The sequence below is a fragment of the Homo sapiens genome, chromosome 18 (genome assembly GCF_000001405.40).
Source record: "Homo sapiens chromosome 18, GRCh38.p14 Primary Assembly".
NCBI classification, from domain to species: domain Eukaryota; kingdom Metazoa; phylum Chordata; class Mammalia; order Primates; family Hominidae; genus Homo; species Homo sapiens.
Window position 1 is genome coordinate 62,261,037 of NC_000018.10, and position 15,142 is coordinate 62,276,178.

General features: G+C 33.3%; 1 protein-coding gene across 30 annotated transcripts in view; it reads left to right on the top strand.

Annotated features, from left to right (window-relative positions):
- Nucleotides 1-15,142, top strand: part of RELCH (RAB11 binding and LisH domain, coiled-coil and HEAT repeat containing) — a 122,995-nt gene that overhangs the window by 73,782 nt on the left and 34,071 nt on the right. For 27 of the 30 annotated variants that reach the window (NR_144408.2, NR_144403.2, NR_144409.2 and 24 more), the window contains 7 exons: nucleotides 475-622; nucleotides 2,953-3,109; nucleotides 3,693-3,816; nucleotides 5,665-5,713; nucleotides 7,833-7,912; nucleotides 12,944-13,050; nucleotides 14,338-14,437. Coding sequence is in view for 20 of the 30 variants with exons in the window: in NM_001346235.2 (NP_001333164.1) it covers nucleotides 475-622; nucleotides 2,953-3,109; nucleotides 3,693-3,816; nucleotides 5,665-5,713; nucleotides 7,833-7,912; nucleotides 12,944-13,050; nucleotides 14,338-14,437 (765 nt within the window). In the remaining 10 variants the exon portion in view is untranslated. Of the gene's footprint in view, nucleotides 1-474; nucleotides 623-2,952; nucleotides 3,110-3,692; nucleotides 3,817-5,664; nucleotides 5,714-7,832; nucleotides 7,913-8,374; nucleotides 8,477-12,943; nucleotides 13,051-14,337; nucleotides 14,438-15,142 lie in introns of all 30 variants that reach the window. The other 3 variants (NR_144412.2, NM_001346229.2, NM_001346233.2) reach the window with 2 other exon arrangements.

Genomic DNA, 15,142 nt, shown 5'->3' on the forward strand with positions numbered 1-15,142 from the left:
AAATTTGGAATGTTCCTAACACAAAGAAATGATACACGTTCGAGGTGATGCATATCTCAATACCTTGATTCAATCATTACACATTGTATGCCTGTATCAAAATATCTCATGGTACCCCGTAATATGTACAATTATTTATGTATCAATTCTAACAAGAAAAAAGATAAAGTGATTCCTGTCCCTTACTTTAATTTCTTTACCCTGTCTTATAAAATTTCAAAAGATAAGACCTTCTCTAATGAAAAAGTAAAATTACAAAAACTATTCCCTACAAATGGAAATGACTGATGTTTACCCTATAGTTTTCCATGTAAAAGATTCTACCACTCTAGAGTGCCTTACTGCTTGTTTGAGTCCAACATAAAGGTCCTTAAATCTTTGATTTGCCACAGTAAGGAAGAACATCATACATAAATCCAATTAGCAATGTAACTTCAAAAGACTAAAATTAGCTTCCACCTCCTTATGTTTCAGGAAGGAGAACATGGACTGGATGAACACAAACTCCACATGTATCTTTCTGCCTTGCAGTCCTTGATCCCATCTCTCTTTGCATTAGTGCTACAGAATGCACCTTTCTCCAGCAAAGCCAAGCTTCATGGTGAAGTGCCACAGATAGAAGGTACTGAACTTAAATTCTGGAAGAAAAATGTAGAATATTAGCAGCCTAGCTTCCCAAAGAATTGTTTTTTATTAAAAGTCTAAAAATCACTTTATATGACAGCATAATTTTTAAAATGTATTATGTGTGTAGAATCTCATGGTCATAAGATTATACGTATGGTAAACAATATGGCTTCATCTTTTATGGATAAGCCCCATTGTCTTATTTTATAATACTTATACTTTCTTGTTGCTCTTAATCTATAGCCTTTTTATAGCCTTTCTGGGGAGGCTGAAATAAATATTTCCTTCCGTTAATAGATCTGAGTCAACAAAAGATTCTTTTAATAGTTACTAGTGCCAGTATATGAAGCTTGTCATTTCTGCTTTCTTTATATTTTCTTCCCCAACTTTTTAATTTTATTTTTAATAGAGGAAGGTAAATATAATTACTTTTTTCTACTATGTCCTTGATAGAAAGAAATATAAAAGCATCTGTGGCAGAATTTGTGTTTTTCCAAAGAAGAAATGTGACTTACTTTCAGAAGTACATAAAATTGACAGGAGAGGCCAGTATTTTCTTATCTTACTCTCCGAGTAGCTAGTAAATGACCTTTGAAACTTGACAGGCAATTGATAACCCTGTTGCACCTTAACGTCCAGGACAAATGGCTATAGACAAGCTATTGCTATGTATCAGGCACCTTTGCAGCCTTTTCAGAGTTGTGAAATTATCCATGTCTCTTACTGGTGTCTAATGGACAAAGAATTATAACATTGAGAACATCAACAGACAATCTTCTTGAATTTCATTTTTCATGTAAACTGTAGGCTACCTATAATATTTGGAGTATGATGCAGTGTGTCCAAAGATACATGAAGCCACATGATAAAAATAGTGTATACTATTTGGATGTCAGTTTTATTTGGAAAATTGAGAATGAATGGTGTGGAGTTAATTTAACATTTTTAAATTGAGGAGAATGAAAATTCAGACTTTAGATAAGACTTCATAAAGCTCTCCCAGCTGGCCACTTCAGGTTCTACCCCTTTACTCTTACTCATTTAGGCATTTCATCTGCCTAGGGATTTTCCTATCTTTCTAATTCCCTTTTTCTTTTTAGCTTTCTGTATTCGTTTACTATGGCTGCCTTAACAAAGGACCACCAACTGAGTGGCTTAAACAACAGAAATTTATTATCTCACACTTCTGAATTTTAGAAGTCTGAGATCAAGGTGTTGGCAGGGTAGTCTTAGGGAAACTGCGAGGTAAAGGCTGTTCTGGGCTCTCCCCTGGCTTCTGGTGGTTTGCTGGCACTCTTTAGTGTTTCTTGGCTTTTAGATGCATCACCCCAAACCTTGCCTTTATCTTCACGTGGCACACTTTCTGTGTGCTTGTTTCTGTGTCCAGATTTTCCCTTCTTATAAGGACATCGGTTGTGTTGGATAAGCGACTACTTCAGTATGATTTCATCTTGTCTAACTACATCTACAGCAACCCTATTTCCAAATAAGATCCCATTCTGAGATACTATAGGTTAGGACTTAAACATAAAAATTTGGGCGGGGGGCAGTTCAACTCATAATACTTGTTATCATTCTCTCATTTATTTAACAAATGATTCTTAAATGTCATCTATTGCCAAGCATATGCTGGAGATTAGATAGAACAGTATCATCCTGAACATATCCTTCTAATACTTATGGGATTCCCTTCTAACATTTATGTGACCTTTTCTTGTGATTGTCCTTTATTTTTCATTCTTGTTGACTTAGTTTAACTTTCTGACTTTTAACAGTAGCTATAAATGTTAATGTTACTATACCTTCATTTAGGTTATAATGTATTTATTATAAATAAGGATTTATTATATCCTTATTTAGGGTATATCCATATGTCTATATGTCCGTTTATATATACACACACATAAAATTTGGGTTATAATTTGTTATGAATGAAGATTTGTTTTCTCATAAAAATGGTAACCCACACAAATATTTTTAGTACCAATTTATTACACAACATGAACAAATATTTATGTCAGGCATTGTTTTAGACACTTAGGACACAATCATGAATAAAATAGATAAAAATTTCTGCTCATAGAGCTTACATTCTGCTGTGGGAATAAAATCTTTTGAGATTTGTTGGATTTGTTCTCATATCACAGGAATTTCTTGATTTTCCTAAAAATGACTTAATTAGTGTATTTCAATTTTATATTTAAAATTTACAATAAGAAAGTAATTAAATATGAGGAGAAAGGACCTTATTTTCCTTTCAACAGAATATCTAAGTTCCCAAAATGCCAATTTCCATATGATTTATTTTGCTTCTTTTATGTGTAGTGACTAGGTTTCCTCGGCCTATGTCGCCTCTTCAAGATGTGTCCACTATTATCGGAAGTCGTGAGCAATTGGCAGTGCTGCTGCAACTTTATGACTACCAGCTAGAACAAGAGGGTACAACAGGCTGGGAGAGTTTACTGTGGGTTGTCAATCAATTGTAAGTTACCACCTCCATATTAATTTGAATAGATGATAACTCTTATATTTAGCCTTGGCCCTAAGAACAAAATATAACAAAACTTTTAAAATGTAACTCGGCATCATTTTTGGTAAACACCTTTAGGACACAGAGGATTCACACCATTGGATATGTAATTTATCTGAGAAGAAGATGTTGCTGTATTTTATCCGAATGATCTATCTGCCATCTTGTTTGTCCAATCGTGGTGATGGATTTTAAACTACATCTAGACTTCTCATTTTTGAGGCTAAAATGATGCCATGTAAAGCCAAGCTCTTGTGTGAAGCATCAGATCCATAGATTTGAGTCACATTAACTCTGTACTCGGAATTCTACCATTAAGGTTTCATATATTTTCTGGCAAACAGTTAAAATTTACTTTTTTAAGTCTATACAGTATAATGTAATCTTACAACCTATTCAGAGGGTCCCAGACAATGCCTTTCCTTTCAAAGAACGAAATAGAACAGGTTATTAGATTTGCATTGTTTCAGAAATTGGCAAGGAAACAGTAATTTATATGTATCCCCTGCCTATTTTTCTTTCCTTTCATATTCAGGTTGCCACAACTTATAGAAATAGTTGGCAAAATTAATGTTACTTCAACTGCCTGTGTCCATGAATTCTCCAGATTTTTCTGGCGCCTTTGCCGGACATTTGGCAAAATTTTTACAAACACTAAGGTAAAAACTTGTATTCCATGTTTTCTTATATGAAAAAGACATAGAAATGTAATGTGTTAACACTGTAACAGGGTAAATAAAAGCATGAACCATTCTTTTATCTAATTCGCTTCTTTAATATCCTAGAATACTATGATAGTAAAAAAAAGTTCTAGTTGGTAATATTCTTATCTTTACTGATTTTCAGAAGATGATTTAGCCTAAGCTTAGTTCATATCCAGACTTGGATATAAGCTTTACTCATTGTAGATATCCTCAAAGATTTTCAATATAGGAAGTGTCAGCTAGGGAACTCAACCACAATCCTTTGAATGTGCTGCTGGTACTTACTGTCTATCACAGGTTCAGGAAGCAGCTGTTTGCTCAGCACACTTTGGTAAAAACCTCAAGCGATTATGGAACCACAGCAACTTATATATAAAACTTGCTGCGAAGATGCCACCTCTTAGAATAGCATGGACACTGGAGATAAATTCTACATGTTTCAGTCATTACCAAAAGTATCATTTGTCACATTTGCCTATCCAGGTTATTTTGTAGTTTCAAATATTAACATTGGAATGTCATTAGATCCTAATTTATTCATTAATCCTATTAATCCATTTGTCTTCATAACATTTTGTTAAGCCAGTACTTTAGAGAGCTAATAAAAACATAAAAAGGTGTAGTTTCTATAATCAAATGTTAATAAACACATTTAAAAGGTAAGCATTTTAATTATTAAATTTAATTTAGTGTAGCTCTTTACTATTAAATCTATAGTTGAAACATTTAAAGTAAATAGTATGCTATAAGGAACTGGACAAAATTCAGAAGACTTGGGTTATGGTCCTATTATCTGTTGACTAATGTTTATGATCTTTACTATTTAAGTTAAATTATGTGGGCTTAGTCTTTTCATGTGTGAAATGAAGAATTTGCTTCAGTGTCTTTTAATTCTCTTAGCGCAATTCAGTACATGAACCTTTTAACATTGGCCTTTCTCTCAGTTTAAGCTAAATATATAAATTAATGTGCCTCACCTACAGAGAGGAGGGCAAAAACCAGACCTTGATGTTATTGTAGGAAAAAGAAAATTAAAATTATTTTGTATTTTTCACTAGCATTCAGTTGTTAAACAAATATAATTTGATTTTCCTGTTATCAATATTGGCAAAAATTGTTTGATATCTCCAAAACAAGTAGCTATTTTTTTTTTTAGAAAAGCAAGTAGGAATCTACTTATGTACTTAACAGTAAGTGGTTGTCTTCAGTGGCCTGAAATCTGTGATAATTTTAATAATAAAAAATTTAAACAAACCTCTGTTCTAACTTAACATATTAAAGTTAAATTCTGTATTTCATATTTCAATTTGAAAAGTTGTAATAAAAGATGAACATAAATATCACAGGATGAATATGTTACTTACTAAACACCTGAAGTGACTGGAATTTCCTTTTCGTTTTTTAAAAATACAGGCAAATGCTTTTTTCGATAATTCTAACCATGTAATATCTACCTAAATAATCCTTCTATAACCAAGTTCAGTTTTAGAAGGCAGTAATTTCAACCACTTAAAATCATATTGGAAATTATTTTAATTTAATAAAAGAAACCAGAGGCCATTCACTTGTTGACTTGAGTTGATTTTTTCAAAAATTTATCCTTAAAGTTTTTATTTTCATTAATTTGACTCTTCTATCCTAAGCCTCATGATTAAGAATTATTACATTTCTGACCACTTAACTTAGTCATCTATAAAGCTAAATAAATAAATGAATAGTAGTAGCAACAGTAGTAAACATTTCATTTAATCAATTTGCCCATTGAACCTGAGACTTTTTGAATCTTCTCTTTGGGTTGCTTAGGTAAAACCTCAGTTCCAGGAGATTTTAAGACTATCTGAAGAAAACATTGGTGAGTTTGTTCATTATTACTTTTAAAAACAATTGCATTTCTTTATGCAGGAAAAATACTATATTCTCCATATATGTAAATTGTATAAATGAACTAGCAACTACAATTGAAAAGGAAAACTTATATTATGGAGTTCTTGGTTTTATAACTGTGTCACATCTAATATCCTTCCCATTAGTGGCAGTGAGATTAATCCCTGTCAATCTGATTGTGAATATATACCTTCATTGTAACCAAATTGATATAAGGCTGAGCTTTACAACCTGGGTACTCAACCTTTAGAGGTCTGAAGTAGTATATTCAAGAGACTGACAATTATAAAATAAGCTGCATCTAATTCCTAATTAGTTCTATAATACTTTTAAAAATTAAACATAGTGGAAAAGAACGGTATATAAGCATATATGTTTTCAAAATGAAACATGAGAGAAACTACAGACTTGAATGGGTAGCTCCAGCTACTTCATTGATAGTTTTCACTCATCTACTTTAACGAGTCTAGTTATGGTACCATTGGCCTAAGGACTTGTTTATGTATGGATCTTGTGTCCCTATGTATTTTTCTAGTTTCTAGGAATAAACTGTGGAACATGTGTAGCACCCCCACCCCCATTTTTAATTTGGTTGATTTTGAATATATATCTCTCTATATATAGAATATATATATAGTCTAGGTATATATGTATGTGTGTGTGTGTGTGTGTGTATAGAATATATATATAGTCTAGGTATATATGTGTGTGTGTGTGTGTGTGTGTGTGTGTGTGTGTATACATATATATATATACACACACCTTAGTGGTTTGAGTTGAATGGTCTAGAAAACACCATTTTTGGCAGTCCTCAGAAGTAGTCAGAAAATGAATAAATTAATTCTTTTAAGCCTGAAGACATTGAAGAGATTTGGGGTGTGGGGGCGGTGGACAAATAACTCCTAATGTTTATTTTTAATGTCTTTTTAAAGGATTGATTTTATAATGCCTAAATTGTTGGTAATATATGTTTATTATTAATTCTTGTGATAAATTAGTGAAGAAAAAAGGTAAATATTTTAAAAACTGACAGCTTTTGGAATTATTAGTTAGCCATGAATGTTTAGCTGTTGAAATAAATAGGAAGTGATTATCAACCCCTGTAATAATCTATGAATATACTTTAAGCTTATGTTCTAACATTAACATCCACACTCCCTCCCCAAAAAAGGTACTCTCACCAAGAGAATAAACAAACCTCAAATACTAATTAATGTGAAAATGGAACTGTCTTTTTTGCAAAATTTCTTCAGGGCAGTTAAATAAATCTTTTCAACTCAATTTCTTTATGTAGTACCCTCAGAAAATAATTTAAAGCCATATAAAAAATAAGTATAGTATAGTAAAAAACTATTCTTGGGAATATAACAGCAAACTAAAGCACTTAAAACAGTGCCTCATGATCAGTAAATAAAAGCTGTTGGTGCTGTGAATGATAATTGTCCTCTCACAACTTTTCTTTTGAAATTGTCCACAGAGGGTGTATAAGAAAATCTCTTACAAAGCAGTTACAGGGCACAGAACTATGGTTGCATACTTTCCCCTTTTTCTCTGCTTTACTTAGCATGATTCCTTCCCCCTCCATGAAAATAATCAGGGCTCTGTCTGGCTGAAAACCCTACTGAGGATGCAGGAGGGGCTCAGGAACTCAGGCTAGTACTGAAAACTACCTCATATCTAGAAATAGATCAAATAACATATATCTATGTGCTTTTAGGTGAGTGTGTTTACATTTTAGTAAACTGCAAATTGAAAGCATAAAAATTTTGGACAACCTGCCTATAGGGACGCTTAGAAGACTTTCAAGAAGAAAGTTCTGATTTCCAATTATGGAAATCAAGAGTATACCATCTCATTTGGGTTATTAAAATTCTTTGCCATTTATCAGAAATGTTTATGCTAGTGGCTCTTCAGGAAACACTAAGTTGTATTTTACAACCACCAATAAACATATGTTTTCCAAAGTAATGATAATACTTACTTGTAACCTAGTAAACAGTTGTAATTTTAAATATAATCGCATTATGATTTTTTTCTTTACACTTAAAATATACTTATGTTTTTTTAAATTATTTTAATAATTTTAGATTCCTCAGCAGGAAATGGGGTCCTCACTAAAGCTACAGTCCCCATTTATGCAACAGGAGTCCTTACGTGTTATATTCAGGTAAGGGAAAAATTCTTACTCTCTAGTAAAAGGCTTTCCATTTAGAAAAATGCCTAGTATTGTGTCTTCTTAATGTAAGTGACATTGCTACCAATAAAGAAAAACAATTTACTTATTTTATTCAATAAATAATTTATAATGGATAGCATATTTGAATAATAAGGGCCTGAGTAAAACCTCAGTTGAACAAATAAATTTAGAGATTATGAGCTTTTTGATATTTTGTTAGAAGTGTTAGATTGTACTTACTTAGCAGAGTTTCTTTGTGTTCCATGATAAGTTTTTCATAGATAAATGATAAGCAGAACACATACGTTAGGTGAACTAAGCTACAAAGCACTGTAGAACACTATACCTTATCAACATTTTTAGCTAAGTACTTTTTAATAAGGCAGGTTGAGTATCCCTTATCTCAAATGCTTAGGATGAAAGTGTTTTCAGATTTTGGATTTTTTTTTTCAGATAAAGGAGTATTTGCATATACATAATGAGATATCTTGGGAATGGGACCCAAGTCTAAACACAAAATGTGTTTCATATACACATTATACACATAGCCTGAAGGTAATTTTATACAATATTTTAAATAATTTTGTGCATGAAACAGTTTGTGTACATTGAACCATCAGAAAGCAAAGGAGTTGCTGTCTCAGCCACCTATGTGGACAATCTGGTTGGTTGGCATCACGATCATCATTCCTGACTTTGCATTTATATGCTACCAATAAGCAATCATTTTCTTATACTTTTTCACATGTAAGTACTTAACAATAAGAAAATATGACATATCATCAATACAGCGAAAAAATAATGTGCTCAGGGTAACAAAGCACAGTAGCATCACCAGAATACCTGTATCATCTGTTGAACAACAGCCACAGCAAATGATGACAGGCTTTCACACACAGTATCAGTTTGGTACTCACAAAGTTTCAAATTTTAGAGCATTCTGGATTTTCAGATTAGGGATGCTTAACCTGTACTTTATTTTTCTTAATTGTTACTGCATAACAAACTACCCCAAAACATAATGGTCTATTATAACTGTTTCATTTGCTCATGATTCTGCAATCTGGGCCTCACTCAGCTTTCTCCTCTTCTGCTGTTTTTGCTGGTGGTCACTTCTGTTGCTGCAGTAAGTGGGTTAGCTGAAGAGGTCTCTACATAAGTCTCAGGACCTCTCTCTGTCTCCACATGGCTTCTGAAGCAGCAGAGCCAGACTTATCACATAGTGGCTAACGCCTCCCAAGAATGAAAAGGCAGAATCTGCTAGGCTAAGGCTTAGGCCTGGAATTAGCACAACATGGTTTCTACTGCAGTCCCTTGCTAAATAAGTCACAGGCACAGCTCAGATTCAAGCAAAAGTAGGGAAGTAAGCCAGGGTGTGAACCAGGAGGTGTGGTTCAGTGGTGGCCACCAATGTAACAGGCTGCCACACTCTACTTAACATTGTTTTAAGTAAATAACATATGATGTGTCTCAAAGCATAGTAGTAATTTTTAAGTATGAGGCAGTCCCACCAGTAAGGTGGAAATACTGACTCGGGATAAAGCACTTTTAGAAGTTAGAATGTAAGAATGAAGAAGAAACACCTTTTCCAATGGTTTCCTGAATTTTTACCCACTACTAACTTATTTATTTTGCTCTTTAAATTCAAAGTACAGCAATTCATATTTATTGTACTCTTCTTTCTTTTTTTTATTTTTATTATTATACTTTAAGTTCTAGGGTACATGTGCACAACGTTCAAGTTCGTTACATCGGTATACATGTGCCATGTTGGTTTGCTGCACCCCTTAACTTGTCATTTACATTAGGTATTTCTCCTAAAGCTGTTCCTCCCCCTGCCCCCCACCCCACAACAGGCCTCGGGGTGTGATGTTCCCCGCCTTGTGTCCAAGTGTTCTCATTGTTCAATTCCCACCTATGAGTGAGAACATGTGGTGTTTGGTTTTCTGTCCTTGTGATAGTTTGCTCAGAATGATGGTTTCCAGCTGCATCCATGGTGTATATGTGCCACATTTTCTTAATCCAATCTATCATTGATGGACATTTGGGTTGGTTCCAAGTCTTTGCTATTGTGAATAGTGCCGCAATAAACATACGTGTGCATGTGTCTTTATAGTAGTATGATTTATAATCCTTTGGGTATATACCCAGTAATGGGATCGTTGGGTCAAATGGTATTTCTAGTTCTAGATCCTTGAGGAATTGCCACACTGTCTTCCACAATGGTTGAACTAGTTTACAGACCCACCAACAGTGTAAAAGCGTTCCTATTTTTCCACATCCTCTCCAGCACCTGTTGTTTCCTGACTTTTTAATGATTGCCATTCTAACTGGTGTGAGATGGTATCTCATTGTGGTTTTGATTTGCACTTCTCTGATGGCCAGTGATGATGAGCATTTTTCATGTGTCTGTTGGCTGCATAAATGTCTTCTTTTGAGAAGTGTCTGTTCATATGCTTCACACACTTTTTGATGGGGTTGTTTTTTTCTTGTAAATTTGTTTGAGTTCTTTGTAGATTCTGGATAATAGCCCTTTGTCAGATGAGTAGATTGCAAAAATTTTATCCCATTCTGTAGGTTGCCTGTTCACTCTGATGGTAGTTTCTTTTGCTGTGCAGAAGCTTTTTAGTTTAATTAGATCCCATTTGTCTATTTTGGCTTTTGTTGTCACTGCTTTTGGTGTTTTAGTCATGAAGTCCTTGCCCATGCCTATGTCCTGAATAGTATTGCCTAGGTTTTCTTCTAGGGTTTTTATGGTTTTAGGTCTAACGTTTAAGTGTTTAATGCATCTTGACTTAATTTTTGTATAAGGTGTAAGGAAGGGATCCAGTTTCCACTTTCTACACATGGCTAGCCAGTTTTCCCAGCACCATTTATTAAATAGGGAATCCTTTCCCCATTTCTTGTTTTTGTCAGGTTTGTCAAAGATCAGATGGTTGTAGATGTGTGGTGTTATTTCTGAGGCCTCTGTTCTGTCCCATTGGTCTATATATCTGTTTTGGTGGCAGTTATTATACTCTTCTTTCAAGACAAATTTGAATCATCCTGTAGTATTAAAATACAGTTATACAGTATCACATATTACCTTGCAATAGAAGTTACAGCTCTGTTAAAGTGGCACAGTATCCTTTTAAATTTTTCTTTTCTACACTAGTTTCTAATACTACCCTGATATGGATACTTTTCTGTTTGTAAAAGATTTTAAGTCATGTATGTTAATAAATTGTCTCTATTGTTCATAAATTTGTGGAGATCAAAGATATTAAGTCCTAACAGTGCTAGACGCAACAGTATGCCTACCATTCTCTAACTTTGGAAAGTGTCCTTGTATAATGTGCGATGTCAGTATTTTATTCTCTCTCTTTTTTACCCTCTTGAAGTTTTGTTAATATTTTTATTTTGACCATAAATAACATTTTAAATCATAATAATTAAATGCCAAGAACAAGGTTTGGCTCATAATAGGCCCTCAGAATAGATCTGTTGAATAAATGAATAAGGGGCATTTCTTTTGAGTCATTATGAAGTCTAAATATGTTATTCATATCTGTAAAGAGATAAGAACTTTTCAGCTTATTACAAAATAAATAGCATATTGAGGTAGCAATCACAGATTGCCAGTGTTTCTTATTTTAGGAAGCACATACCAGCAGTTAATGTTTATCTCACTAAACAAAAATTTTTGTTAGGGTAAATTACATTAAACAAAAATTATCTTGAATCAAATACATAAGCAGTATTACTTGTTTTGAGAGTCCAAAAATGATAAATAAGATTATAGTAAATTTTTAAAAATCGAAAGAATTCATACTTATTTAGAAGTCTTATTTTATAGCTCTTATTTCACATTTAGGTTTTTCTCAGATTTTCAGCTTGTTTTCCAAAGTTATGTCTATTTTATATTTGAAATAGTAGGCAACTAAAAATGGGTGAAATCACCATTCCAGCGTTGTCCTGATGCTGATTTGTCAGTTAAATTGTGTGTCCTAAAACTGTTATATTCACCCTTTTTTCATGTTAACCATTACTTTTGTCAATCCTTATCTCTACTTCATTCTTAACTAACCTGATTATGTAGCAAAAAAAAAAAAGGATAGGTGGTAATCCAGTCTTCCTCATGATCTATTGATACATTCAGAAGCTATTTACTGTTGACCTTCTGTGTCCCTAATGTTGACTTGACTTTATTATGTATTTATTTTCTGACAGACTATCAGATTCCCTTCCCATATACATTTAGGTTAATTTAACATAAAACATTATTTTTTTTACTCTCTTAATTTAGCGGGTTTTCTTTTTCTAACATATTTTCTGATTATGAAAGTAATAATAGTTCGTTGAAAAAAGTTTGAAAAACACAGATTATTTTTTAATCAAGGTGTGCATCTGTTTCTTAAAAGAACACAGTAGTCTATATTTTACTAAGTGTGCAGTTTTCACCACTAGGATATTGCAAAGATAATTTCTTAGAAATCAATTTTCTACTATTTTTTCTACAACGGGGTAACTATTCTAGTAGTTTGTATTATATAGAGCCAAAATTTATGGGAACAAAAATTCGTAAGGTAAATTTTAATAAAAGATTATACTTTTTAATGTTCTAAATCAGGACCAAACATCCAAACTTTTACAGTGACGGAAATAATTTACAGCTGAGTTGTCCAATCAGCTAGGCACTTGCCACGTGTGTCTATTAAGCCTTTGCACTGTACCCAGTTTGACTGAGGAACTGAATCTTTCACTTTACATAATTTCTTATTTAAATTTAAATATAAGTAGCCACATGTGGCTAGTGGCTACTACTATATTAGACCACAGGTCTAAATTAAAGTATCAAGATAGTCTGTCTTCATACCATTCTGATGATAGATATGCTTAATAAATATCTTTTAATTAAAATAGCTTCCAAATTTGGATATTTTCCCCTTATTTGGTAACATTTTCTAATTATAGATAGGTAAATATGGTATTTAGTTCTACTTGATTGTTTGGAAATTCAGTATCAGTATTTTTCCTCTGTAGGAAGAAGACCGAAAACTGTTAGTTGGATTCTTAGAAGATGTAATGACGCTGCTTTCATTATCTCATGCTCCTCTTGATAGCCTGAAGGCTTCTTTTGTGGAATTGGGGTAAGAAATAACAGCTTATAGTTTGCTAAAAGGCATATAAAGTTTTTAGATTGGATTTATAGAGTACATATTTTAAGTCTAAAAGAGTTGACATGCACACCAATTCTCTTGGTTTTGAAACTTAAGGGTTTTTTTGTGTATTTTAGTTTGTTTCTTGGTTTTGCTTATTTGTTCATTCTTAATATTTTATAATCAATACATTGTAATTTAAAAAGTAGGGGAAAGGGTGCAGACATATGTTTTCTTTGAAGCAGTTGGAGAAATAAAATGAAGTACAGATTTGAAGAAAATTTAGTTTCCCAGAACTGAAAAAGGAGCCCCAAGTGAAAGCCAGCTTGTTTGGCTCCTGTTTTCACTGTTTGATTTGCTTAGTCCTGCTCATCATCACATCATCTGGCTGCTAAAATAATTTTATCTCAGTCTTTACTGAAAACACACTCATGCATTTGTTAATAATACCACCTTTCATTTGCATAGGCTTCACAGCCAACATACCCTTCCGTATAGATGGTTTGAGTTGATTTTATTTGATTCTACAACAACCATGTGACATACATAGGACATGTACTGCTTCCCCAATTTTTATAGATGCAGAAACCAAGACCCACAGAAGTTGTAATTTACCCACTTGACTCTTAGTCCAGTGATCTTTCCTTTTTCCTCATGGAGAAATTTGTTTCTTCATAATTTTAACTTGCATGCTATTAAAAAGAGTGGAATTATCTGTCACAATTGTGAATTCTTAGAGAAGTTACAAGTGTGATTTCTGAATATGCTAAAAGATTGTGGTTGTATAAGGAAGGTGACATCTTTTTTGGAGAATCTTAGTTGTTTGTTTCTATGTTTTTTGAGACGGAGTCTCGCTCTGTCACCAGGCTAGAGTGCAGTGGTGCGATCTCAGCTCACTGCAACCTCTGCCTCCTGCGTTCAAGCAATTCTCCTGCCTCAGCCTCCTGAGTAGCTGGGACTACAGGTGCGCATCACCATGCCCAGCTAATTTTTGTGTTTTTAGTAGAGACAGGGTTTCACCATGTTGGCCAGGATGGTCTCGATCTCTTGACCTCGTGATCTGCCCACCTTATCCTCTCAAAGTGCTGGGATTACAGGCGTGAGCCACTGCGCCTAGCCGAGAATCTTAGTTGTAACCTATGTAACCAAACAAAGTAATTCCATATGTTCTGCAAATATTATTATCATTAATATTCCTTATAAATATCGTGTTTTTCAGTTCACTAGTAAGGGACTGTGGCTCTCAATTTTAACACTGTTTTTTTTTTTTTCTTCTAGTGCAAACCCAGCCTACCATGAGTTACTATTAACTGTTTTGTGGTATGGTGTTGTCCATACTTCAGCACTCGTGAGGTGTACTGCTGCTAGAATGTTTGAGGTATGTCAACACATGCCTCTGTTGGTTTCAATTATAATGATTTTTTTTTTTTTGCGAAGAAGAAGGGAATTTTTTTTAATAAAAAGGCTTTGCATATCATGTTATGTTGATATATATTTTATGGCTTTGAACAGTGTCTGGTTGTGTACTGTGTGATGGGGCAGAAATTTAGCTTTAACATATTTAAAAATGTTTTCTCAGCTTACTGGTTCCTTGAATGTTATTCAATTATCACTTTTATTTCTCAAACTATCTTTTAAATCTTATTTTAATTTCTAACTTATATAACTCTTTCTGACTATACTTTTTGATTTACTGAGGTAAATAAACTGAAACAACATAGGATATCTTTCAAGTTGTAAAATATAGTTGAATTTATCAGTAGCATTAGAAAATCAATTATTGAAATTATGGAAATGTTTATTTTATTGGTTACTCCTACGTCACTATTCCCTAACATTTCATATGTAGAATAACATCCCAATACATTAACTGCCCATAGAGTTGCAAAAGAGAGGAGACCAGGTAATTTACCTAAATTGTACTAAATTGCTACCTACCCAAGTTAAGTATGAAATTGAAATAACTATGTTTTGTACCCATCATATAGCAAATTATGTCATAGCCCTAGTATGTGTGTAGGTGGGGAGCAGTGAGGTTGAGGTTTAGAACTTTATTTGAGCACTAAAATTGGTTTACTGTTTC